This window comes from Homo sapiens, chromosome 19 (genome assembly GCF_000001405.40).
Source record: "Homo sapiens chromosome 19, GRCh38.p14 Primary Assembly".
NCBI lineage: Eukaryota > Metazoa > Chordata > Mammalia > Primates > Hominidae > Homo > Homo sapiens.
In genome coordinates, this window is record NC_000019.10 from 10,316,063 (window position 1) to 10,339,674 (window position 23,612).

The window sequence follows — 23,612 nt, forward strand, 5'->3', positions numbered from 1 at the left end:
TCAATGGAACATAAGCGCAGATGTTTGCTTAGGGCCTGCGGTGACCAGGTGGGAAGAGCAGGGCGGAATCCATCTCAGGTAAACCCGCGGGGCCATCCCAGACCTCCCACTCAAGCCCACTGTTTGTCCCAAGAACCAGCCAACTCTGATTTCTTTAAAACCATTTACTTACAAACTTTAATTCAGCAAAGGTCCGTGTGGGGAGACTGGGGTGGGGTCGGGGGAATAGTCCCCTTGGAGTGGATGTGGACCCCCAGAGTCAAGGGAGGGAAGCTGGTGGCCCAGTTGGCTGGGGGCAAGGCCCAGGGTCACCTCAGGTCGACAGGTCCTGCTGGTGGGCGGGCCCAGAGTTTATCTTCATGGAGTGCTGGTTTCTGGCACTGGGCTGGAAGGAGGCCAGCTCCAGGGATCTGGCCGGGGGTGGGCAGGCAGAATTCAAGAATTCATCTTCAACAAGCGAGTGACAGCAGAGGCTCCGGGAGATGGGCACAATGTCCGACTCCCACAGACAGACAGCAGGGGACTGGCAGAGAAAGCCCATCTCTGCACGGAGGCCCGGGTAGGAGGGGGTGGTGGGGCCGGTTCGCCAAGATGAAGGCTTTCCCCTTCTACTGTCCCCAGGGTGGAGATCCTGGGTAGGGTGGCCCAATCCCTAGGCCAGAGCTGTTTGGTCCATAGTCAAGCTCCCAGAGCTTGGCATCTGTGGCTCTGGCCAGCAGGGCCTGGGGCCCAGCTTTTAAGGCATCAGAAGGGGAGGGGGCTGCGGCAGGGACCCCGGGCCCCACGGCTGGGGTATAGGCCAGATGGGCAGGCAGGGGCAGGAGACAGCCATGCCTGCAGCAAATGTGGGAAAAACAGCTGTTTCAAACCGCAAGGTGTGGAATGGTGGCCCGGACAGGCCGGGCCTTGAAGGAATCAGAGCTGGGGGCTGTCCGGGGTGGTTTGAAAAATAAAACTTAGAAAAGGAAACAGAAGTCAGTTGTCAAAGTTAAAAAAAAAGGAGACAGTCTCTGTATCTTCACGGGAGGTCAGGGAAACCTCCAAGGCACTCGAAAGGCCAAAATTACAGGAGCAATGAGGCAGGAGGGCTCCGGAGAGACGGGCACAGCGGAGGAGGAGATGGGGGGAGGGAGGGAGAGCAGGCCGGGGCCCCTCTCTCTTAAGGCTGCAGGGTTTCAGCGTGGGGAGCAAGCCAGAGACATAATGAGGCCTCCAGACTCCCCCACACCCCTTGGGCTCCTGGGGCTCCGGCTGATTGGTCAGTAAAGTCTTTCAGAGATTTTTCTATTACCGAAAGAGAGAAAATGGTTTAAAAAAAACACAAAACAAAACATCAGAAAACCCAAAAGCGATTTGGTGCAGGCCCTTGAGTTATCTCTGGTGCCAGCCACTTAGAAAATCCTCTTCCGCTTCAGGTAGGAGTCCGCGTAGTGGCCGCCGAGGCCCTGGGAGTGCTGGCCCACATAGCTGCCTTCTGGGCTGGGCTCGGGCGAGGGCAGCAGGTGGGCAAAGCTGCGTTTCTGGCCGCCCAGTGGGGTCTGGAGACAGAGGGCAGGGCGGGGCGGGTCAGGGGCCGCTGGGGGGCCGGGGCTTCCCAGCCCTGCATGTCCCCACCCCCTGCCCGTACCTTCAGCAGGTGGCTGTGACCATTAGGCCCGGGGCTGAGGCCCAGGAGCCCTTCTCCGGACCCCAGCGGGGAAGAGCCGATTGCCTGGGAGAAATGGAGAGGTGGAACAGGTCACTCCCTGGGGGCCAGAGGAAGCACCCACCCCGCCCCCCTGCCACTGCCCCCCAGCCCTGAGGGAAAGCGAACAGTTTCAGGTTCAAATCTTGCTTCTGCTACTTTCTAGCTATAAGACCTAGGGCCAATTGCTCCATTTTATTTGAGCCTCGGTTTTCTCATCTGTCAGATGGGGCCAGTAGCACCCACAGCCTGGGCTGTAGAGAGAGGAAGTGACAGAAAGCCCGGAATGCTGGCAGTGCTAGGTGCTTGATGCAGAGTGGATGGAGGACAATAGGCTGTTGCTACTCCACCCTGAGCAAGACCAACCCCTGCCACCACCCCAGCTTTGGCCTGGGCACCGAGGGTTACAGAGCCCCGGTGGCAGGCACCCCCAAATCCTAGCTGTCCCAGGGGGCCTGTGCTTGGCCAGAGAGGTTCCTCACCTTACTGAGGTGGCTCTGCTTGAGGCCAGCCTGCAGGCCGCTGGTGAAGTAGGAAGTGGGCGAGCCTGAATAGAAGTGAGACAGGGGGCCCCCGCCACTCCCACCGCTGCTCCGTTCGCCGAAGCCACTGGGCGGGGGGGACATCTGTAGAAGAAGGGCCGGTGGAGTGAAGCAGACAATTGTAGTACCCAGCCCTTTGTATACAATCTTCCCTCTGCCTCCCAGGTTCAAGCGATTCTCCTGCCTCAGCCTCCCGAGTAGCTGGGATTACAGGCATGCGCCACCATGCCCAGCTAATTTTTTGTATTTTTAGTAGAGACGGGGTTTCTCCATGTTGGTCAGACTGGTCTCACACTCACGACCTCAGGTGATCCGCCCACCTCGGCCTCCCAAAGTGCTGGGATTACAGGCGTGAGCCACCATGCCCGGCAGTTCTGGGCTTTGCAAAGACTAGCTTTGGCTAATAGGACTGAGGAGAGCTGGCACGTGGGTACCCGCCTCCTCTTCCTCCTCCAGGAACCCAGGGATCATCACCGCACGAATGGGCACACAGAAACTGTTCCAGCCTGTGGACGCCAAATATGTGAGGCCACATAGCTCACTGAGACCCAGGTGAGTGCCGGGGACCGCCCACTGCCCCATAGAGTGGCAAGAAGTAATACAATGCCTGGCATGGTATGGTGGCTCATGCCTGTGATCCTAGCACTTTGGGAGGCCAAAGTGGGAGGATTGCTTGAGCCCAGGAGTTTGAGGCCACAGTGAGCTATCATGGAGCCACTGCACTCCAGCCTGGGCAACACAGTGAGATCCTGTCTTAAAAAAACCCACAAAGAACACACAAAATACAAGGTCTGCTGTTCCAGGCTACTAAGTCATGGCACAGCCTGTCATGTAGTAAAAGCTGATTGCTACACATGCCATACCAGGTGGCTCTTACCTTGTGTCGGCTGGGTCCGTGAGGCCCAAGGGCTGGTTCCCGTGGGTGGGAGAAGAGCCGCCGAGGTCCCATGTCCTGAATGAAAGCGGGAGAAGCACATTGGGTTGGAGTCTGTCCCAGCCTCACCCCTGGCTGAACTCCATGGCAGAGCTGTCATCAGGGAAGACAGTCCCCACCACTCTGGGACCAGGAAGAGGCAAATTTGGGGCTGGATGCAGCTTGGCAGGGATGGCTGCTGTGAAGGGGGGTGCCCCCCATGGGCCTAAGTGTTTGGAGTTTCCCAGGCAAGCTGGGAATTCGAGCTGTGTGGACTCTTGCAGTTTTCCTGTGTTGGCGTTAGTTCCTGTTGTTATTTGTTTGAAACACAGAGGGGGCCAAACATCACCCAGGTGACCTGTGGGCGGCCAGTTTGCAATTTCTTTCTTTTTTTTTTTTAAACGGAGTTTTGCTCTTGTTGCCCAGGCTGGAGTGTAATGGCACAATCTTGGCTCACCACAACCTCCGCCTCCCAGGTTCAAGTGATTCTCCTGCCTCAGCCTCCCTAGTAACTGGGATTACAGGCATGTCTACCACACCTGGCTAATTTTGTATTTTTAGTATAAAACATAAATTATATTTTATATTATATATGAAATATATATTTTATTATATATTTTATAATATATAATTTCTCCATGTTGGTCAGGCTGGTCTTGAACTCTTGACCTCAGGTGATCTGCCCGCCTCGGCCTCCCAAAGTGCTGGGATTATAGGCATGAGCCACCGTGCCTGGCCCAGTTTGCAATTTCTGACCTGCCAAGGAGGTTGGCATCATAGAAGGACCAAATCTCCAGGGGCACAGACAGGAATCAAAGGTGGGAGAGAGGGATAGAAAGGGCAAGCCCTGTCTCTGGGGAGAGACAGTGTGGCCTAAGTCCTCTTGGGAGAGAAAGACAGACGCAGGATGACAGACAGACTGAGACCCAAGATCCTCCAGGGCTCGAGAATGGACAGACAGGCAGGTGGACCGGAAGCAGGGGGTGATGTGCAGACAGACGGGAAACTTTAAGGGCATGAGGCTGGGCGCGGTGGCTCTTGCCTGTAATCCCAGTACTTTGGGAGGCTGAGGCGGGTGGCTCACTTGAGGTCAGGAGTTTGAGACCAGCCTGGACAACACAATGAGACTCCGTCTCTACCACAAATTTAAAAATTAGCTGGGCATGGAGGTGCGTGCCTGTGGTCCCAGCTCCTCAGGAGACTGAGGTGTGAGGATCGCTTGAGCCCAAGAGGTTGAGGCTGCAGTGAGCTATGATCGCACCACTGCACTCCAGCCAGGGCAGCAGAGGGAGACCCTGTCTCTAAAAAAAAAAAAAAAAAAAAGCAGAGACCATATCTGGCACGTTCCCTGCCGCCTCCCTAGCACATGGCCTGGCATAGTCAATCCTAGAGAAATATCAGTTTGGAGAATGATTTGGCCTTAGGGGACAGAGAGCTGCAGCCAGGCACTCACCGAGGGGTAGTCGAAGCTGTAGCTGTCAGACAGTCCTGGTTCGGGGGGCAGGCGGGCGCTGCTGAGGGGGCTGAGCAGGCGGGACTTGAGCTGGAAGGCTTTGCTGCTGCTGCTGCCACCTCCAGGGGCTGGGGGGTTAGTTGGGGGGCCCTCAGCTGGGCGGCGGCTTCTCCCGGCGCCTCCCCAGCCCCGGGCCTCCTTACCCGCCAGGTTGCTGGCCGGGAGCAGGCTGTGTAGGTTCAGGTAGGGATTCAGGGGAATCCGGTAGTCCTTGGGGGGCTCCCCCAGCAGTGAGACCTGTGGCGGGAAGGCAGGATTCGAGAGGGCCCCCGGGAGAGGGAACCCTGCGGAACAGGAGGCTGGTGTGGTGCCGCGCGCAGGGCAGGGCCTTACCCCAGGGGGCGTCGGCAGAGGCCCACTGTCTTTCTGGAGGCCTCTGAGGCCAGAGCCTCGGAGCCCCACAGGGGCGGGGGGAGGAGTGAGCTGGGCCGCTGGGGGACCCAAGCCCAGGGCCTCCCGGTCACCCCCAGCAGGGCCAAGCACGGATGGCAGCAGGGGTGGTGGCTTCCCTCGCCGGGGCGGCAGCTCCGGGGGCAGGCCCCCTCCTAGGGAGGGAAGGAGGATTTCAGGGGCCCAGGCTCACAGGACCCCTCTCCCCAGGGCCCTCCAGCTCCCACCTGGACCAGGGCCCAGGGGTCAAGAGACAAATCCATGCTGGCCACTGAGCAGAGCTCATCCCTGGGCCCTGAGTGGAGGGCACCCAACTGATGGACAAGGGCGCTGGGACCCAGAGGTTGGGTCACTCACCCGAGGCCACGTAGCAGGGAAGGAAGGGGAAGTGGCTGGGGGACACCGTGTGGGCAGGGTCTGCGTTACCTGCAGGCAGCTCCCCGAGGAGGGGGTTGGCTGGCTGGGCCCCAGGCTGGAGGGCGCCCAGGGGTGAGTCTCCCAGGATGCCGGGCTTCTAGGGACAGAGCACAGACAGTTGCAGATGGGGGCAGGGTGGCCCAGGGAAGCAGACAGGTGTGGCCCAGAGTCTTGGCAGACACACCCCAACTCCAGGGCACGGCCGATCCTGGGCAGACAGGCACAGGGTTCCCCAGTGCCCGCCACACTCCAACTCTATCACTGTCCCATCAGCCATGGTGACCGAGGGTCTCCTGAGCTCCAGGCCCCAGTTCCCTGGCCAATGATTGCAGCACAGTATCAACTGCAGCCACATGGAATGGGACAGCCACACAGTGTTTCAGCCACTTTTAGTCACAGAAGGCCAGACCCACAGGCTCACATATTCTGTCAGTTACCACCAGACAGACACACCTGACTTAGAATCCAGGGAACCACACCAGACAGGACGGAGCATGGGTGTATGTCTATGTGTGTGTGTGTCTGTGTGTGTGTGTGCGTGTATATCTGTGTCTTTGTTTCTGTGTGCATGAGTCTGTCTTGTGTCTATATGTGTGTCTGTGTCTATGTGTGTGTCTTTGTCTTATGTCTTTGTGTGTCTATGTCTCTGTGTGTATATTTGCATCTTTGTATGTGTGAGTCTATATGTATACCTGTGTTTCTAGGTGTGCGTGTGTGTGTGTGCACACACTGAGGGGATAGACCTGGAGTTTTTTCCCAGGCATGTCTATAGAGCTTCCGAGCAGAGTCTATTCACAAACTGGTGCCCAGCAGCGGCGCTCCCAGCCCACACCCAGTTTCAGGCTGTAAATGGGCGTGTCCAGGTCCCCTGACCCCACCCCAGGCACCAAGTCCAGGGGCGCTCTCAGAATGGAGGGAAAGATGGCGAACCATCATGAGCAATTGCCAGAGGGGGATGGGGATGTGGGTGGGAAAGGCAGGGGTTTGGGGGAGTCGCCCTCACCCTGGTTCTGCGCCCCCAGGGCACAGCCAGAGGTCCCCCCACCCCACCGATCGCACCAGCTGTGTTGAAAAGAGCCTGTAGGGGCTGTAGAGCAGTGGGTGAGGGGGATGCGTGTGTTACCTTCTGGCCCTGGGTCTGCAGGGCGAGCTGCAACAGCGCCGTGGACAGGGCTGGCCCATTGAGCAGCGGCATGGCTGGGGGGGCACCCAGGAGGCCTGGAGGGAGACATAGGAGGATGTGTGGGGGTCCCTGTGTCCTCCCTGCCCCACCTCACGAAACACAGCCCTGAACCCATTGATGGGGCAGGAAACTGACACTCTGGGGCCGGGGGGTGGGCAGTGGACTTGCCCAAAGGAAGGGCCTAGAAGGGGCAGAGGCTACTCCAGTGAAGGTCAGCCCCCTCTTGTCAGCACCCCACCTCACTGCAGGCTGCTGTGTGGCCCTGGTCCCGGCCCCCAGTTGTGGACAGCAGCAGCCCCCGCTATGACTCCATACTCCCCCTCGGCCCTACTCCTGGGGCTCCTGTCACTGCAGCCAAGATGAGCAGTTTCGGGAAGTGCCGGGGGCAGCGCTGCAGCCCCTGTTCTGCACAGTGGGGCCCCTGTCCAGCCCCACCTTACCCTGCTTCCCCCCCGCACTGCCATGGAGCAGGGGGTTGAGCAGCAGCTGGAGGGACGCGGATGGGCCCAGGTTGTTGAGCAGCTGCAGGATGTTGGGCTCGGGGAGGAGTCCCTTCCCCCGATTGAGGGCCTGCAGGAAGGAACAGAAGCAGCTCAGAGTGCCGCTGGGGCCCTGACATCCCCATGGGGCTCCCATCCCCACCCCGCCACCTCTGCCCGCACAGGCTCACCGTGGCCTGGGCAGCGATGAGAGCGGCCAGCATACTGCGGCCGGGGGGCCCAGGGGCGCAGAAGGAGACTCGCAGGTGGCTGCCCCCCAGGGACAGGCCGTCCGCCTGCTGCTGTGCCTCCTCCGCCATCTCAGCCGTCTCATACTCCAGCACCGCGAAGCCCTTCAGCTGCCCATCCTGGCCGCACGCCAGCTGCCGGAGGAAGGCAGGCAGTCATGAGCATCTGGGCAGCAGTGACTGCACCACCCCGGGAAGTGACAACCGTAACCAGACTCAGCTGCCCCATAAGGGTGAACTCCACGCCAGGCCTCCACTGCCCTGTGCCTCATTCCTGCATCAGCTCATCTGATTTTCCCAATGACCCTGGGAGGCTGCATCATACCCATTTCTCAGAGAAGGCAACTGAGGCACGGAGAGGTCAGCGCACCCAAGGCCACACAGCTGGAGGGAGGGCGGAGCTGGGAGCCACCTCACCAACAAAGCCAAGGCCACGGGCGGATGCGGTGGCTCACACCTGTAATCCCAGCACTTTGGGAGGCCGAGGCGGGCAGATAACCTGAGGTCGGGAGTTCGAGACCAGCCTGACCAACATGGAGAAACCCCGTCTCTACTAAAAATACAAAATTAGCCAGGCGTGGTGGCACATGCCTGTATTCCCAGCTACTTGGGAGGCTGAGGCAGAGGCAAGAGAGTCACTTGAACCTGTGAGGCAGAGGTTGCGGTGGGCCGAGATCGCGCCACTGCACTCCAGCCTGGGCAACAAGAGCAAAACTCCATCTCAAAAAAAAAAAAAAAAAAGAGATAATCAGCAACGGGTGGGGAAGGAAGGGCTCTCGTTCCAGACAGTGGCCAAGCCAGGTAGCAGTGCTAAGGGAAGTGGTTGGGCTGGGCACCGGCACTTGCTGAATGCCCGGGCAGCAAAGGTGCAGGTAGCAGCCCTTCACCTCTGCCCACGCCCTGTGCCAAGGTCTGGGCACAGATCTCCCATAACCAAACCTGTCGGCTTTTGTTTTGTTTTGTTTTTTTTGAGACAGAGTCTTGCTCTGTCACCCCGGAGTGCAGTGATGTGAACTTAGCTTACCGTAACCTCCACCTCCTGGGTTCAAGTGATTCTCCTGCCTCAGCCTCCTGGTAGCTGGGATTACAGGTGTGCACCACCACGCCCAGCTAATTTTTGTATTTTTAGTAGAAATGAGGTTTCACCATGTCGGCAAGGCTGGTCTTGAACTCCTGACCTCAAGCGATCCGCCTGCCTTGGCCTCCCAAAGTGCTGGATTACAGGCGTGAGCCACTGTGCCCGGCCATAAACACACCCATCTTAGGGATGAACAGAGAGAGACTCAGAGGGGTCACAGAGTGATCAAGGCCACACAATTCCTAAGTCGAGGGACTGATGTGTGAACCTCAAGCTGCTTCACTGTCAAGCCCACCCTCCATTCAGCTGGGTCACCTAACATTAAAGGTGGGCTCCTCGGAGGACATCACTTCAACGCCTGCTACTCATCAGATGCTCAACAAATGTTTGGTGAGACCAGGCCCAGTGGCTCGAATCTATAATCCCAGCTCTTTGGGAGGCAAAGGCAGGAGGATCGTTTGAGCACAGGAGTTTCAGACCAGCCTGGGCAACATAGGGAGACCCCATCTTCACATAATTTTTTTTTTTTTTGAGGGAGTCTCGCTCTGTTGCCCAGGCTGGAGTGCGGTGGCATGATCTTGGCTCACTGCAACCTCCACCTCCCTGGTTCAATCAATTCTCCTGCCTCAGCTTCCCGAGTAGCTGGGATTAAAGGCACCTACCACCACGCCTGGCTAATTTTTTTTCTATTTTTAATAGAGACAGGGTTTTTGTTTTTTGTTTTGTTTTTTTTGAGACGGAGTCTCGCTCTGCCACCCAGACTGGAATGCAGTAGTGGGATCTTGGCTCACCACAACCTCTGTCTCCCAGGTTCAGGTGATTCTTCTGCCTCAGCCTCCCAAATAGCTGGGACCACAGGCACATGCCACCACACCCAGCTAATTTTTTTTTTTGTATTTTTAATGGAGATAGGGTTTCACCATGTTAGCCAGGATGGCCTCGATCTCCAGACCTCGTGATGCACCCACCTCGGCCTCCCAAAGTGCTGGGATTACAGGCGTGAGCCACCGTGCCATGAGACAGGGTTTTACCATGTTGGCCAGGCTGGTTTCGAACTCCTGACCTCAAGTGATCTGCCCGCCGCAGCCTCCCAAAGTGCTGGGATTACAGGCATGAGCCACTGTGCCCGGCCTCTACATAAAATTTTAAAAATCAGCTGGGCATGGTGATGCATTCCTGTAGTTCCCCAGCTACATGGGAGGCCAAGGTAGGAGGATTTCTTGAACCCAGGAGGTCGAGGCCGGAGTGTACTCCTCCAGCCTGGGTGATTGAGAACCTGTCTCAAAAAAAAAAAAAATTAAGTTTAGTGAATGTTCGAGTGGAGGAATGAATGGGCAGCTGTTCACAACAACCTGATCATGAAGCACTGCCAGCCCCATTTTGAGATGTGGAAACAGGCTAGGAGAGTACCTGTAGCTGGTCATGACCCTGTGACCTTTGATCTCCACATAAGAAGGTAAGGCCAGGCCAGCGCAGTGGCTCACACCTGTAATCTCAGCACTTGGGGAGGCCGAGGCAGGTGTATCACCTGAAGTCAGGAGTTCAAGACCAGCCTGGCCAACACGGCGAAACCCCATCTCTATTAAAAACACAAAAATTAGCTGGGTGTGGTGTCAGGCGCTGTCATCCCAGCTACTCGGGAGGCTGAAGCTGGAGAATCACTTGAACCCAGGAGGCGGAGGATGCAGTGAGCCAAGATCGCGCCCCTGCACTCCAGACTGGGTGACAGAGCAAGACTCTGTCTTAAAAAAATATAAAATAAAATAAAAGAAAGGTGAGGCCATTGTGCTAACTCATCTTCTGTCCTGAGCCCGCACAGGCGGCCTGGTACATAGCAGGCCTGGTACGTAGCAGGTGTCCAAGAGAAAGCAGCAGAATGGATGAATGATAAGTAAACAGAGAGGGGGTTCCCGTGGCTCATGGATACTCAGTTTTTGTTTTTTTTGTTTCTTTGAGACGGAGTCTCGCTCTGTCGCCCAGGCTGGAGTGCAGCGGCACGATCTCCACTAACCGCAACCGCAGTCTTCTGGGTTCAAGCAATTCTCCTGTCTCAGCCTCCTGAGTAGCTGAGATTACAGGCGCGTGGCGCCATGCCTGGCTACCTTTTTTTTTTTGTTGTATTTTTAGTAGAGACGGGATTTCTCCATGTTTGTCAGGCTGGTCTCAAACTCCTGACCTCAGGTGATCCGTCCGTCTCGGCCTCCAAAGAGCTGGCATTACAAGCGTGAGCCACTGCGCCTGGCCTGTTTTTTTTTTTTTTTTTTTTTCTGTTTTTGAGATGCAGTGTTGCTTTGTCACCCAGGCTGGAGTACAGTGGCGTGATCTCAGCTCACTGCAACCTCCACCTCCCAGGTACAAGCGATTCTCCTGCCTCAGCCTCCTGAGTAGCTGGGATTACAGGCCTGCACCACCACACCTGGCTAATTTTTTTTGTATTTTTAGTAGAGACAGGGTTTCACCATGTTGGCCAGGCTGGTCTTGAACTCTTGACCTCAAGTGATCCACCTGCCTCGGCCTCTCAAAGTGCTGGGATTACATGCATGAGCCACCTCACCCAGCCTGTTTCTTGTTTTAAATATAGAGATGGTGTCCCACTATCTTGCCCAGGCTAGTCTTGAACTCCTGGTCTCGAGTGATCCTCCTGCCTCTGCCTCCCAACAGACACCTAGTTTAAATGGGGCACCAATACCCCACTTACACGAGAGGGACCCACTCAAGCCCACAGAGCTGGGGGTCCGAGCCCAGGACTGTCTCTCTGTTTTTGAGATAAGGGTCTAGCTCTGTTGCTCAGGCTGTAGTGTCATGGTGCTGTGGTGCGATCATGGCTCACTGCAGCCTCGGACTCCCAGAATCAGGCAATCCTCCCACCTCAGCCTCCTGAGTAGCTGGGACTACAGGCACACCATCATACCTATCTAATTTTTGTATAGAGAGGATTTCACCATATTGCCCAGGCTGGTCTCGAACTCCTGGGCTCGAGGGATCCGCCCGCCTCAGCCTCCCAAAGTGTTAGGGTTACAGGTGTGAGTCACTGCACCTGGCCAGGCCTACCCCTTTTAAGCCTCTGCACTGGCCTCCGCTCACTGGCCCAAGCTCTGGAGCTAGGCTGCGGTGTTCTGATCCCAGCTCTGCCAGACCCTGGCTGTTTAACTCTAGGCAAGTTACTTGACCCCTCTGTGCCTTGGTATCCTCACCTGAAAATGGGAGTGATACCTGCCTCTCAGGGTTGCTACAGGATGAAGCAACTGAAGGTTACGTACTCAGAGTCCACAGCGAGTGCTGGGGGAATGTCCCCTTTGGGATCTCTGGGGATCAAGACCTTCTGGGGGCTCTTAGAGAGTGAGTCTGGCCTGTTCTCGCCCCACTGCACCTGTTACAGGGCGAGGCACACACACAGAAGTGCCTGGCATGTGTGGCTTGAATGAACAAGGGACTGTTTTGCCAACCCATTGTGCAAGTATTGAGTCCCTGCTTATGGAGGAGGGAAACTGCAGATCAGAGAGCCAGTGACTGGCCCGAGCTCGAGGGCGGGGCTGGGATCTGGCAAAGCCTCAGTCTCTGACCTCAAGGCTCAAATAGACTGTGGGCTCCTCTGCAGCCTCCTCAATGCCTGGTCCAGGTCTGGGACCCCATGGGAGGTTTGACGAGGGTACCAGCGAATGAGGAGGTGAGTGGTGAGCAAGCCTCGAGATCCATAGTTACAAGAGTGGCCTTGCATGCATCTGATAGAGGGACAGTGAGGCCTGAGGCTGCAGAGGGATTCAAATCCCCTGGCCAGGTGTGGTGGCTCACGCATGTAATCCCAGCACTTTGGGAGGATCACCTGAGGCCAGGAGTTCAAGACTATCCTGGCCAACATGGCAAAACCCCATCTCTACTAAAAATATAAAAATTATCCAGGCATGGGGGCGGGGCGCCTATAATCCCAGCTACTCTGGAGGTTAAGGCAAGAGAATTGCTTGAACCAAAGAGGCGGAGGTTGCAGTGAACTGAGATTGTATCACTGCACTCCAGCATGGGTGACAAAGTGAGACTGTCTCAAAAAAAAAAAAGAAAAGGCAGATGACTCCAAAGACTCTCTCAGGTGCTCCGGGCCTGGCACCTGCTCCCCAATGCTCTCCACAGGGCTCACCTGGCAGAAGGTGGGGCTGTGGACAGCTGACAGCGCCCGGCACAGAGCGTCCACATCGTTGAAGCCAGGTGGCAGGCGGTCCACACAGAGGCAGCGGGAGTGGAGAAGGGCAGGCGTCAGTTGCCCGGCATCCGTCCAGTGCACGTAGAGGGTGCGTGGTCCCAGCGGCTTGCCCAGCAGGTCCGACTTGGCACGGGCAGCCGAGTCCTTCTTCATGTACTCAGCAAAGCCATAGCCCTTGGATTGGCCAGTGCGCTCACTGTAGACCAGGAAGCAGCGCTCCAGGCTGCCGAAGGGCCGCACCAGCTCCTCGAACTGCTGCTGTGTGAGGCTGGGGGGCAGGTTGGCCACACACAGCAGGGCATCCGTGGGCTGCAGCTGCACCGACAGTTCACGCTCCCGCAGGCGGCTCTGGTGGAAAGCATTGATTGCGGCCTCGGCCTGCTCCCCATTCAGCAGGGTCACGAAGGCTGCGGTGGGAGGAGGGCAGTGCGAGGTCAGCCGGGCCCTGAGGGCCTGCCCCTCCACCCCGCCACCCTGCAAACCAGGTGGGACCTCCAAATGCTGGGCATCTCAGGTGCCTGCTGATCTGAGCAGTTGCCAGCCTTGGCGACTCACACAGGCGAGAGCGCCTGCCATTGACTCTAGGCTCCACGAAGCCCACTCCCTCTCCCAGCCCTGCGTCCACCTGCACCCACAGCAGCGCTCACCAACTGTGGGCCTGGCTCTGTCCTAAGAACGCTGTGGGTCACTCGGGTGATACCAAGGGCAGTGGTTAAGCCCATGCTCACTGGGGCCCAGATTTAAGCCCCAAGCCCCAGGTGGCTTTGGGGGTATCAGTTTCCTCATCTCTCAAATGGATATAACTTAATCATCACAATCACCATTTTGCCAGAGAGGAAACGGGCCCAGAGCAGCACCCCTGTGCCCCGAGTAGGGGAGCCTGGACTTGAACCCAGGCAGCCGGACTCCAGAGGCCCACTCTACACACTGCCCACCCCTGCCACCTTTCCAGGCCACCAGTGCCCCTGAACCCTGCTGCCACGTGCTGCCCCAGATTTGCGATCCACCCAGCGGCCGCAGGAAGCTTTGTTCAAAACGATCACGCCACATCCATCTTGTGGCTTCTAGCTGCAGGGTGCAGTGCAGCCTGTGCGGGCTCGCTGACCTCCCCTCCCATCTCACCGCTGCCACCCGGACCACGCCAGGCACACTCCAGAGGGGCCTTTGCAGCTGCTGTTTCTTGAGCATGGAACACTGAGCCCCACCTCCTCACCTGGTTAACCTGGACCCACCCAGGTAGAAACCCTGTCTCTACTAAAAATACAAAAATTAGCCGGGCATGGTGGCACATGCCTGTAATCCCAGCTACTCGGGAGGCTGAAGCAGGGGAATGGGCTGAACCCAGGAGGCGGAGGTTGCAGCGAGCCGAGCTCGCGCCACTGCACTCCAGCCTGGCGACAGAGCAAGACTCCATCTCAAAAAAAAAAAAAAAAAGACCACACAAGCAGGGGTGACTGGCTGAGTGAGGCAAGAGGGGTAAGAAGAGAATGAACCCACGGCCAAACGTTGTCAAGAATTAGCTCAATGCCAAGCGAGTGGAGTAGGAAGAGAATCAGCCCGATGCCCAGTGTTCTCCAAGGAGAACATGAAGGCTGTCCCAAGATGACAGGATGACAGGCAGATTGGGGCAACCTGCCATGTTGGCCTGGGGGGCAATACTGGGCCTGAAGCTCAGAGCAGCAGACAGTGAGCCAGGCCCTCCCATCTTCAGGGATGGTCACTCCCTGCCCTGGCCCGCCCCATGGCCCCACAAACCTGTCCCTTTGTATTTGTCCACAAAACAGTATTTGAGCTCATAGTCACTGAGCAGGTCATGTACTTCCTGTGGAGATACAAGACAAAAGACAGGGAGTTACTGGAGATGGAAGGGGGCAACCCAGTGCCGCTTCATAGCTGCCACCAGCTATGAAGGCAGGTCAATTACCACCCCCCATTTTACCAATGAGGAAACTGAGGCTCGATGCAGTAATTTTGTCAAGGTCATTCTGCTCATACCTGGCAGAGATGGGATTCAGAACCTAGCTGCAGACTGTGCTATTACCCAGGCAACATGCTCTTAGAGGGTATACCTTTAGCTGGCTGGGCGGGGTGGCTCACGCTTATAATCCCAGCATTTTGGGAGGCCGAGGCGGGTGAATCACCTGAGGTCAGGAGTTCGAGACCAGCCTGGCCAACATGGTGAAACCTTGTCTCTACTAAAAATACAAAAATTAGCCAGGAGTGGTGGCGCACACCTGTAATCCTAGCTACTCGGGAGGCTGAGGTAGGAGAACTGCTTGCACCCAGGAGGCAGAGGTTGCAGTGTGCCACTGCACTCCAGCCTGGGTGACAAAGGGAGACACTGTCAACAACAATAACAACAAGGCCGGGCGCGGTGGCTCACGCCTGTAATCCCAGCACTTTGGGAGGCCGAGGCGGGTGGATCACGAGGTCAGGAGATCGAGACCATCCTGGCTAACAAGGTGAAACCCCGTCTCTACTAAAAATACAAAAAAATTAGCCGGGCGCGGTGGCAGGCGCCTGTATTCCCAGCTACTCGGGAGGCTGAGGCAGGAGAATGGCGTGAACCCGGGAAGCAGAGCTTGCAGTGAGCCGAGATTGCGCCACTGCAGTCCGCAGTCCAGCCTGGGCGACAGAGCGAGACTCCGTCTCAAAAAAAAAAAAAAAAAAAAAAAAAAATAACAACAACAAAAAAAAAAAAAAAAAAAGAGGCCGGGCTCACGCCTGTAATTCCAGCACTTTGGAGGCTGAGGCAGGCGGGTCACAAGATCAAGAGATCGAGACCATCCTGGCCAGGAAGGTGAAACCCCATCTCTACTAAAAATACAAAAATCAGCTGGCTGTGGTGGCGTGCACCTGTAGTCCTAGCTACTCGGGAGACTGAGGCAAGACAATTGCTTGAACCCGAGGGGTGAAGGTTGCAGTGAGCAGACATCAAGCCACTGCACTCTAGCCTGGCGACAGAGTGAGACTCCGTCTCAAAAAAAAAAAAAAAAAAAAAAAGAGTATGCCTTTAGGGAAGCCATTTAACCTGCATGAACCTCCTTTTGCAAGATTCACTGTTTCCAACAACTCTGTAAGTGAAGTATTAACAAACTCATGTTGTATATGAGAAAACTTAGGCTAGGAGAAGTGAAGAGATCTGCTGGAGGCCATGCAGTTGGGCAGCGCAGCCACCCATGGGTACCTGACTGGGGAGCCCACCTTCTAGTAAGCCCCACGTTGTGTGGGTTCACATGCCTCCCAATTTCCTCCTGCTGATAAAGCTGCCCTCTTCCAAGCCAGCTCATTTATTTTTCTTTTTTTTAGAGATAGTGTCTTGTTCTGTCACCTAGGCTAGAGTGTAGTAGCACAATCATAGCTCACTGCAGCCTCAACCTCCTAGGCTCAAGTGATCCTCCCACCTCAGCCTCCTGCGTAGCTGGGACTACAGGCACGCACCACCATGCCTGGCTAATTTTTAAAAATTTTTTGTAGAGATGAGGGTTTCACTATACCGCCCAGGCTAGTCTCGAACCCTTGGGCTCAATACAGCCTCTTGCCTCAGCCTCTCAAAGTGCTGGGATTAAAGGGATGAGCCACCATGCCCAGCCTCTCAAGCCAGCTTTGAAGGCAAAGTGCTGGCGCCTGCTGGGACCAGACACACTGTGCATCTTGCAGGAGAGACAATGTGTTCCCAGCTGAGAGACTGCAGACACTGAGAGGAAGACCCAGAAAGAAACCTGACCATCCTTAATGATCCCTGTCCCGATCTGTCCCCAAATTCAGCCCCTCCCAACATCCCTGGGGTTCCACTAGCCACGTGCCCACCCGGTGTGCTGGTGGGCCGGAGAGCAGGGAATCTCAGCAGCAGGAAGCGAGAACCTATTTCACCGCCATAGGGCAGGGCAGTATAGATGCCATTTCCCTGGGTCCAAAGAGCATTGGGAAGCGCTGCCCCATGCTGGCCCCATGAGAAGGGCACTCCTAGCAGGAAGATTAGCCACGAGGGGCTCCATAGAACACAGGCCTCGCTTCCTTCCTGTAGGTCTGTAGGCTGGTGGCAGAAGACCCCATTTTCCCAAATTAATCCTGAGGTTTTGGGGGCTGAGACCCAGGGGCTGCTGTTAACTTCCGGATTTATCTCTGAGAGCAGTGAATAAACGCGTGATATGGAGGGGCGTACTCTCCGCAGTCCTGAAACTTCTGGATGTGAGGTCCCGCCACCCTGTGGTAGAGTGGGTGGAGAAAAGCATCATCCAAGCAGGGGGCAACTGGTGGTCCAATGTACCAGCCCATTCACAATTCCCCAACAGGACCAAAGCTGTCCGCCCCCTTCCATTCCCCGCCCGCTTCCATCACTTGGTGTCGCCCAAGCCTGTGGTCGCCCCTAGCAACGCCCTCCCTCACTTCGCAGTCGGTTTCCCCTTTCATCATCGCCCCCCCACGTCCCGCTCTTGGTCTCTCCCGATCCCGCGTGGATCCGGTGCTTGGGCGCCCCCGCCAACGACCCCCGCGCACCTCAGCGTTGGTGTCGCCCGGTTCCCCCCGCGCACGCGCACCGTGGTATTTCCCGCCACGCTCCTACACCGCCCCCCCCAATACCTGGTTGGTCACGTCCCCCGGGAGGCCCCGGATCAGTATCTTGCGGCGGTTACGGAACTGGCGCTCGGTGTGTTCCAGGCGTTTCCGGATCTCTTCTGGATCTAGAGGCGGCAGCTCTTCTTCCGGCGCCCGGCGCTCCGCGGCATCGCCGGCTTCGACTTCGGCCCCAGACTTAGGGCTCAGCGGGGGCCGGTGAGTAACGGACACGTCCGCCGCCATCTTGGGAAACCCGGCGCCTTCTGGGACCAGCGAGCCGGGGCGGAGCGGCATAGAGCGGCAACGAGGGCGCGCCCGTCGATTGGCTGGGAGAAACCCCACCTCCTTCCCGCCCCCCTTGCCCCGTTGGCTAAGCCCCAGCCCACCTCTCAAGAGTTCAAGCTGCGTCTGCGCGCCACAGGCCCCGCCCCCTTCCGTCGCAGCGACGCTACTCAGTGGATGTGCACCTGGGTGGGAGAGACTTGCAGCGCGGGTGGAATCAAACCACAGATTAGGGAGTTTGAAGGCTTTATTGGTGCGGAATCTGAGGGCACAGCCAAGCCCCCGCCAACTTTGATCCCGGATCCCAGCGTCACTCAGCTCTGGACGGTTCTTCCCCCATTGCTTCTGTCGGCTGCATAGACGTGAGGGGCAGATAGGTGCTCTCCTCCCTAACATGGTAACTGCCGCTCCGTTGGTGCTCCCTGAAGACGTACATTAAGGCCAGTACGATAGTCACCACGCCCAGGGTCAGTAACACCGCCACGAAGACGGGGACAAAGTGGGAGCTCCCAGCTGTGCAGAGAAAGCGCTAAGTCAATATGCGTCCCTTCTGTCTCCAACCCCCCCGCCCCCCGGCTTACCGGTCCAGACCCGCAGCCCCGTGTTAGCTCACCCTCAATGTCCATCACCACGACCAGGGTGTATTTGCCTCGTGAGCTGGACGCTTGGCACTGATAAGTACCATTATGTGTTACGTTGACGAAGAACGGGATCCCCACCGGCACCTCCCGGCTGGAGCCTTCCTTCAAACACCGCAGCTCGGGGTACGGGTTGCCCCTGGCTTGGCACTGCAGGACGTGTCTCGTTTTATCTTTCCATTTCAAGTGCTGGGGGCATGTGGCTCGGTCAATTTTGGGACCATCTGTGGAACCACCATGTGTGATCAGACACCCAACACACCCGAGGCACAGTGGTGCAGAGGAGCGTCTAATCTTTCCAGGGCAGGGGTGGAGGGATTAAAGGTCAGGGTGACCGACTCACACAGGACTCGCAGCTGGACGCTACTGTTCCTGTGCAAGAACTCGCCGTCCACCTCGAGAGTGGCACTGCAGAAGAAGCTGCGTCCGTCGTCACTCTCGGTAGCATTTAGCTGAAGTTGAGCTGGCTGCCCCGGGGCCGCGGCCGGAACTCCGTCCAGCGTGACCTGGACTCGAGCCCCAGCCATGCAACTCACGGTCACTGTGGACCCCTCATGGGCGGTGGGCTCGCTGAGGTTCACAATGGGTCCTAGGAAGCCTAAAGGCGGGGCATTGCCCAGGAGCTTAATGAACAGGACCTTCCTGTGGGTCAAGCCGCTCCCTCCGCCCTCCCCTTTCCTCTCGGGATATCCGGGCCACGCTTTCGGCCGTTCAAGCCTCGCCCTCTTTCCGCGCTGTGTCCAGCTTCGGGCACTCAGGCCCAACCCACGTTGCAACTGCTATTGGGGCAAGCCAGGCCCCACCTTTTCGGCTAGTCTCCGCCCCCTCTGCCACGCCCCCAGACTGCTGAGGCCGCGCCCCCTTCCCACGCCTCCTCTTACTAAAGACCGTCAAGTTCTCCCGGGCCTCCCGTCTCTCGCCCCCTAGGGTCACGTTGCAGACGATCTCCCGGGCACCCTCCTGATCCGCGCGCGCCGTGGCTGTGGCTGTGGCCGTTAGCGTGTCCCCGTGGTTCATGACTGTCGCATTCAGCATCTGGTCCCCCAGCGCCAGGTAGACCTGGGCCTCTGAGGCTGGAAAAAGCCCGTCTAGGGTGCAGTCCACCGGCCACGACGTTTCCACCTCCAAGAACCGGGGGGCCACGAGGCGCGGGGGGGTCACGGGCAGGACTGGGGAGAAAGGTGGGCATAGTACAACCCCCAGGACTGTGCCTTCCCCAGGACACCCTCATCCCCCCCAGTCAGGATATCTTGCTGACTGGGTCACCCTTCTTCACAGGACACACACACAGGGCCATGAAAACGGCCTTCTTCAAAGATCCCACGGCTCGGGCCTCCCTTCCGGGGCCACCTTGCCCAGTGGCCGGGGGCTTTCCTTCCCAGAAGCCTGTGAGGTCCGGGGTACCCCACTCTCAGGAACCCCAAGGTCAGGGCACCGTCTACCCTGGCTCAGCTCGTCACCCACCGTCTGAAGCCCCTTCTCTCACCAAAGGTTCGGAGCTGGCGGGGGGCTGAGGTGTTCACGAACAGTCCCAGCCCCTGGGGCTGCATGTCCAGTTCTGTGCGGCATGAGAAAGGGGCTCCGTGGTCGTCTCTGCTGGCCAGCACAGTGGCAGTGACCTCCGCTGGCTCCTCCACTGCGGGCTGCCGGCTCAGCTCCTCCTCCCAGCGAAGCAGCACCACCGTGAGGCTGGTCCGGGGCGACCCATCCTCCACTTGGCAGCGCAGGGTGAAGTTCTGGCCCACCGGCTGCCAAGGAGGCAGGGGTGCCAGCTCCACACGCTCCGGGAGCCCTGAGAGAGGAGGGGAGGATGGCACTTAGCGGGTCCTGCAAACCCACCCACTCACCCCAGGGACTGGGGAGGAGACAGGGTGGTCCTGCCGAGAACTGTGAGCTTTGAGTTAATAAACTTAGAGGGCTTAGAGCTGGGCCAGTCGAAGCGTTTGCTATTATCATTAGCGCAGTGATTATCATTTCCTGTGTTGTCAGATACCTTGCAAGGCGCTAAACAAAACTTTCTGTTCTCAAAGATGGCACAATAAAAAAAAATGAGGATGGAAGGGATGAACGTTTATGACTATGATATGAATATTAAAAATTCCTGTTTATGGCCAGACGTGGTGGCTCACGCCTGTAATCCCAGAGCTTTGGGAGGCCGGGGTGGGTGGATCAAAAGGTCAGGATTATTCAGTTCTCTCCAATCAGGTTCAGACACTCAGGGCTTTCCTGGTTCACCAGCCCTGTGGCAGCCTCTCAAGATACTCCGGCACAGTCACAGGAGACTTGACACTCCCAGGCTGGGTGCCCTCCCCAGTACACCTACAAAACGCTGGGCCTCAGGCCGGGCACTGTGGCTCATGCCTGTAATCCCAGCACTTTGGGAGGCCAAGGTGGACGGATCACCTGAGACCAGGAGTTCAAGACCAGCCTTGCCAACATGGTGAAACCCCATCTCTACTAAAAATACAAAAATTAGCCAGGCATGGTAGCACGTGCCTGTAATCCCAGCTACTCAGGAGGCTGAGGCACAAGAATCGCTTGAACCCAGGAGGCAAAATTTGCAGTGAGCTGAGATAGTGCCACTGCACTCCAGCCTGGCGACAGAGAGAGACTCTATGTCAAAAAAAAAAAAAAAAAAAAAAAGGCTGGGCAAGGTGACTCATGCCTGTAATCCCACCACTTTGGGAGGCCGAGGGAGGCGGATCACTTGAGGTCAGGAGTTTGAGACCAACCTGGCCCATATGGCAAAACCCTGTCTCTACTAAAAATACAAAAATTAGCCGGGCATGGTGTCACACGCCTGTAATCCCAGCTACTAAGGAGGCTAAGACAGGAGAATCACTTGAACCCAGGAGGCGGAGGTTGCAATGAGCTGACATCGCGCCATTGTACTCCAGCATGGGGGACAATAGCAAGACTGCGTCTCAAAGAAAAGAAAAGTCAAAAAGTAGGCCAGGCATGGTGGCTCACGCTTATAATCCCAGCACTTTGGGAGGCCAAGGCGGGCAGATCATTTGAGGCCAGGAGTTTGAGACCAGCCTGGGCAACATGGTGAAATCCTGTCCCTACTAAAAATACAAAAATTAGCTGGGCGTGTTGGCATGCGCCTGTAATCCCAGCTACTCAGGAGGCTGAGGCAGGAGAATCGCTTGAACCCGGAAGGCAGAGGTTGCAGTGAGCCAAGATTGCGCCACTGCACTCTAGCCTGGGGGACAGAGTGAGACTCTGTCTCAAAAAAAAAAAAAAAGAAAAGAAAAGAAAAAAAAAAGTAGCCAGGCCTGCAATCCCAGCTACTGGAGAGACTGAAGTGGGAGGATTGCCTGAGCCCAGGAGTTTGAGACCAACCTAGGCAACATAGGGAGATCCTGTCTCTAAAATAAAGGTATAAAAAAGTGTAAATGTAAAACCTCCATTTGCCTACTGCTGACTGAAAGGGGTACCCCCTTTTTTGCTTAAGAGACAAGGGTCTTGCTTTTTTGCACAGGCTGGAGTGCAGTGGTGCAATTATAGCTCACTACAGCCTTGAACTCCTGGGCTCAAGCGATTCTCCCACCTTGGTCCCCCAAGTAGCTGGGACTTCAGGCATGTGCCACCATGCCCAGCTAATATTTTTTATTTATTTTTGTAGAGACGGGGTGTCCCTATATTGCTCTGCCTGGTCTTAAATTTCCGGACTCAAGCAATCCTCCTGCCTTGGCCTCCCAAAGTGTTGGGATTATTGTTGGGGCCAGGCGCAGTGGCTCACACTTGTAATCCCAGCACTTTGAGAGGCTGATGTGGGCGGAACACCCCGTCTCTACTAAAAATACAAAACTTAGCTGGGCATTAGCTGGACCTGGGAGGCAGAGGTCGCAGTGAGCCGAGATTGCACCACTGCACTCCAGCCTGGGCTACAGAGTAAGAGACGCCATCTCAAAAAAAAAAAAAAGCTTGTTGGGGCCGGGCGCAGTGGCCCATGCCTGTAATCCCAGCACTTTGGGAGGCTGAGGTGGGCGGATCGCCTGAGGTCAGGAGTTCAAGACCAGACTGGCCAACATGGTGAAATGCCATCTCAACTAAAAATACAAAATTTGCTGGGTGTGGTGGCGTGCATGTGTAATCTCAGCCACTCGGGAGGCTGAGGCAGGAGAATCACTTGAACCCAGGAGGCGAAGGTTGCAGTGAGCCGACATCGTGCCACTGCACTCCAGCCTAGGCAAAAAGAGCGAAACTCTGTCTCAAAAAAAAAAAAAAAATGCTTGTTGGGGCCCAAGTTAATTGATTTCACAACTGCTGCCTTGGCATGAGATTGAGATGCGTCTCTATATCTCTGTCTCTGTCTCTGTGTCTCTGTCTCTGTCTATCTTTGTATCTCACACACAAATGTCCAGGTCTGAGCTCTGGGTCAGAACTGTGGTCCATTCTTTGCAAACTGAGGGTCCCCACTCTCCTGAGCCATTGGCCACTTGCCCACACCACTACCCAAGACCAGTCCCACCTCCGGACACGTCGACTCACTGTACACGGTGATGTTAGAGGAGCCTGTTATCTGAGAGCCATTGCAGTACACTGAGCAGAGGATCCGACTGTTGCCAGTCACGTTGCTGAGATTGAAGGCTGCCCAGCCCATGCCACTGGCCACCAGCTCCTTTGATAGGGACGTCTCCAAGGCGATTTTCTCAGAGCTGGGACAATCAGTACTGCAGTTCACAAACAGGGACCCTCCAGCAGAGAGCACAGGGTTCTGGGGCTCCACCCGCAAAAGGAACTCCTGCCCCTGGACACCTTCAGGAACATGAAGAAGTCCTGGTGTTTGTTTCCTTGTCCCCCAACCCACGCATCAACAGGCCCCACCATTTAACACCTCTCTCCTTGTGCCGAGACAGAAGGGTTCCTGCCTTCATGGTCCAGTGGGAAAGGTAGAATCCATCAGAGACCGGGGAGAACTCAGAAGGAGGCCAGAAGAGGCTCTGATCCAGCATAGGAGGAGGTGAGTCAGGGAAGGCTTCCTGGAAGCGGGGACCATTGCAGCCCGAAACTGAAGGCTAAGTAGGAGTTAGCAAGTGAAAGGGACAGGTGATCCTGGCAGAGGGAAGCACATACGCAAAGGGCAAATTTCAGGAGTTCAGATGGAGCAGGAAGCATGAGGGGTGTGTGTGTGTGTGTTAGGGGAGAGGGATGGCGTACAAGCCTATGCTGGGGCCTGACCACCTGAAGGCTGAACTAAGGAACCAGAACTTTCTCCCGAGGATACAGAGTCAGCGGCCAGGTCGCAGTGTGGCAGGATGTGAACAGCGTTGCGTTCTATTCCTCTACCCTCTACTGATCCCCAAAACGCAGCCCTCTCCAGCCCTCCCCGGCTTGACTGGTCTCACCTGGGGTCAGCAGACAGCAGACCAGCAGAGTCCAGCAGGCCCTGGGCCACAACACGGATGGTACCATGGTGGCCATTCTGACAGAGGAAGGTGCCTTCCTGAGGTGCCCGAAGGGCAGGCAGGGGAAAAGGCGGGG

At 56.7% G+C, this 23,612-nt stretch overlaps 2 protein-coding genes across 12 annotated transcripts, besides 12 other annotated features; both read right to left on the reverse strand.

Moving 5' to 3' along the window:
* RAVER1 (ribonucleoprotein, PTB binding 1) lies at positions 150-17,467 on the reverse strand. Of its 5 annotated transcripts, NM_001366174.1 has the most exons (14): positions 17,227-17,467; positions 14,398-14,464; positions 12,580-13,049; positions 7,313-7,504; positions 7,083-7,212; positions 6,583-6,677; positions 5,469-5,556; positions 4,986-5,197; positions 4,796-4,889; positions 4,593-4,720; positions 3,104-3,178; positions 2,167-2,310; positions 1,628-1,711; positions 150-1,538 (listed from the first exon to the last, which is right to left on the reverse strand). In NM_001366174.1, exons 1-14 carry the CDS (start codon positions 17,443-17,445, stop codon positions 1,392-1,394), a joined length of 2,145 nt encoding a protein of 714 aa, NP_001353103.1. In that variant the 5' UTR covers positions 17,446-17,467; the 3' UTR covers positions 150-1,391. The 5 variants fall into 5 exon arrangements, with proteins under 5 accessions (NP_001353103.1, NP_597709.3, XP_047294099.1 ...); NM_133452.3 differs by having other exon boundaries at positions 4,593-4,889; XM_047438141.1 differs by lacking the exons at positions 150-1,538; positions 1,628-1,711; positions 2,167-2,310; positions 4,986-5,197.
* Positions 841-1,032: a silencer, noted in NCBI's record as "fragment chr19:10427579-10427770 (GRCh37/hg19 assembly coordinates)". NCBI's record gives its function as "represses an EF-1alpha promoter that drives an FKBP-Casp9 reporter gene in an ReSE screen in K562 erythroleukemia cells {active_cell/tissue: K562}" and the evidence as "EXISTENCE:reporter gene assay evidence [ECO:0000049][PMID:32094911]".
* Positions 4,096-4,309: a silencer, noted in NCBI's record as "fragment chr19:10430834-10431047 (GRCh37/hg19 assembly coordinates)". NCBI's record gives its function as "represses an EF-1alpha promoter that drives an FKBP-Casp9 reporter gene in an ReSE screen in HepG2 liver carcinoma cells {active_cell/tissue: HepG2}" and the evidence as "EXISTENCE:reporter gene assay evidence [ECO:0000049][PMID:32094911]".
* Positions 15,944-16,860: an enhancer, noted in NCBI's record as "H3K27ac-H3K4me1 hESC enhancer chr19:10442682-10443598 (GRCh37/hg19 assembly coordinates)". NCBI's record gives its function as "activates a minimal SCP1, AML or CMV promoter by ChIP-STARR-seq in naive H9 embryonic stem cells {active_cell/tissue: H9 hESC(naive)}" and the evidence as "EXISTENCE:reporter gene assay evidence [ECO:0000049][PMID:30033119]".
* Positions 16,861-17,777: an enhancer, noted in NCBI's record as "H3K27ac-H3K4me1 hESC enhancer chr19:10443599-10444515 (GRCh37/hg19 assembly coordinates)". NCBI's record gives its function as "activates a minimal SCP1, AML or CMV promoter by ChIP-STARR-seq in naive H9 embryonic stem cells {active_cell/tissue: H9 hESC(naive)}" and the evidence as "EXISTENCE:reporter gene assay evidence [ECO:0000049][PMID:30033119]".
* Positions 16,861-17,867: a biological region, named in NCBI's record as "H3K27ac-H3K4me1 hESC enhancer GRCh37_chr19:10443599-10444515".
* Positions 16,872-17,095: a silencer, noted in NCBI's record as "fragment chr19:10443610-10443833 (GRCh37/hg19 assembly coordinates)". NCBI's record gives its function as "represses an EF-1alpha promoter that drives an FKBP-Casp9 reporter gene in an ReSE screen in HepG2 liver carcinoma cells {active_cell/tissue: HepG2}" and the evidence as "EXISTENCE:reporter gene assay evidence [ECO:0000049][PMID:32094911]".
* Positions 17,268-17,487: an enhancer, noted in NCBI's record as "active region_13957". NCBI's record gives its function as "activates an Ori minimal core promoter by ATAC-STARR-seq in GM12878 lymphoblastoid cells {active_cell/tissue: GM12878}" and the evidence as "EXISTENCE:reporter gene assay evidence [ECO:0000049][PMID:35858748]".
* Positions 17,714-23,562, reverse strand: ICAM3 (intercellular adhesion molecule 3). Of its 7 annotated transcripts, none has more exons than NM_002162.5 (7): positions 23,477-23,562; positions 22,620-22,886; positions 19,609-19,914; positions 19,004-19,291; positions 18,466-18,720; positions 18,098-18,346; positions 17,714-17,997 (listed from the first exon to the last, which is right to left on the reverse strand). In NM_002162.5, exons 1-7 carry the CDS (start codon positions 23,550-23,552, stop codon positions 17,795-17,797), a joined length of 1,644 nt encoding a protein of 547 aa, NP_002153.2. In that variant the 5' UTR covers positions 23,553-23,562; the 3' UTR covers positions 17,714-17,794. The 7 variants fall into 7 exon arrangements, with proteins under 7 accessions (NP_002153.2, NP_001307535.1, NP_001307534.1 ...); NM_001320606.2 differs by having other exon boundaries at positions 22,620-23,183; NM_001320605.2 differs by lacking the exon at positions 19,004-19,291.
* Positions 17,728-17,867: an enhancer, noted in NCBI's record as "active region_13958". NCBI's record gives its function as "activates an Ori minimal core promoter by ATAC-STARR-seq in GM12878 lymphoblastoid cells {active_cell/tissue: GM12878}" and the evidence as "EXISTENCE:reporter gene assay evidence [ECO:0000049][PMID:35858748]".
* Positions 18,492-19,110: an enhancer, noted in NCBI's record as "H3K4me1 hESC enhancer chr19:10445230-10445848 (GRCh37/hg19 assembly coordinates)". NCBI's record gives its function as "activates a minimal SCP1, AML or CMV promoter by ChIP-STARR-seq in naive H9 embryonic stem cells {active_cell/tissue: H9 hESC(naive)}" and the evidence as "EXISTENCE:reporter gene assay evidence [ECO:0000049][PMID:30033119]".
* Positions 22,168-22,916: an enhancer, noted in NCBI's record as "H3K4me1 hESC enhancer chr19:10448906-10449654 (GRCh37/hg19 assembly coordinates)". NCBI's record gives its function as "activates a minimal SCP1, AML or CMV promoter by ChIP-STARR-seq in naive H9 embryonic stem cells {active_cell/tissue: H9 hESC(naive)}" and the evidence as "EXISTENCE:reporter gene assay evidence [ECO:0000049][PMID:30033119]".
* Positions 23,202-23,301: an enhancer, noted in NCBI's record as "active region_13959". NCBI's record gives its function as "activates an Ori minimal core promoter by ATAC-STARR-seq in GM12878 lymphoblastoid cells {active_cell/tissue: GM12878}" and the evidence as "EXISTENCE:reporter gene assay evidence [ECO:0000049][PMID:35858748]".
* Positions 23,522-23,571: an enhancer, noted in NCBI's record as "active region_13960". NCBI's record gives its function as "activates an Ori minimal core promoter by ATAC-STARR-seq in GM12878 lymphoblastoid cells {active_cell/tissue: GM12878}" and the evidence as "EXISTENCE:reporter gene assay evidence [ECO:0000049][PMID:35858748]".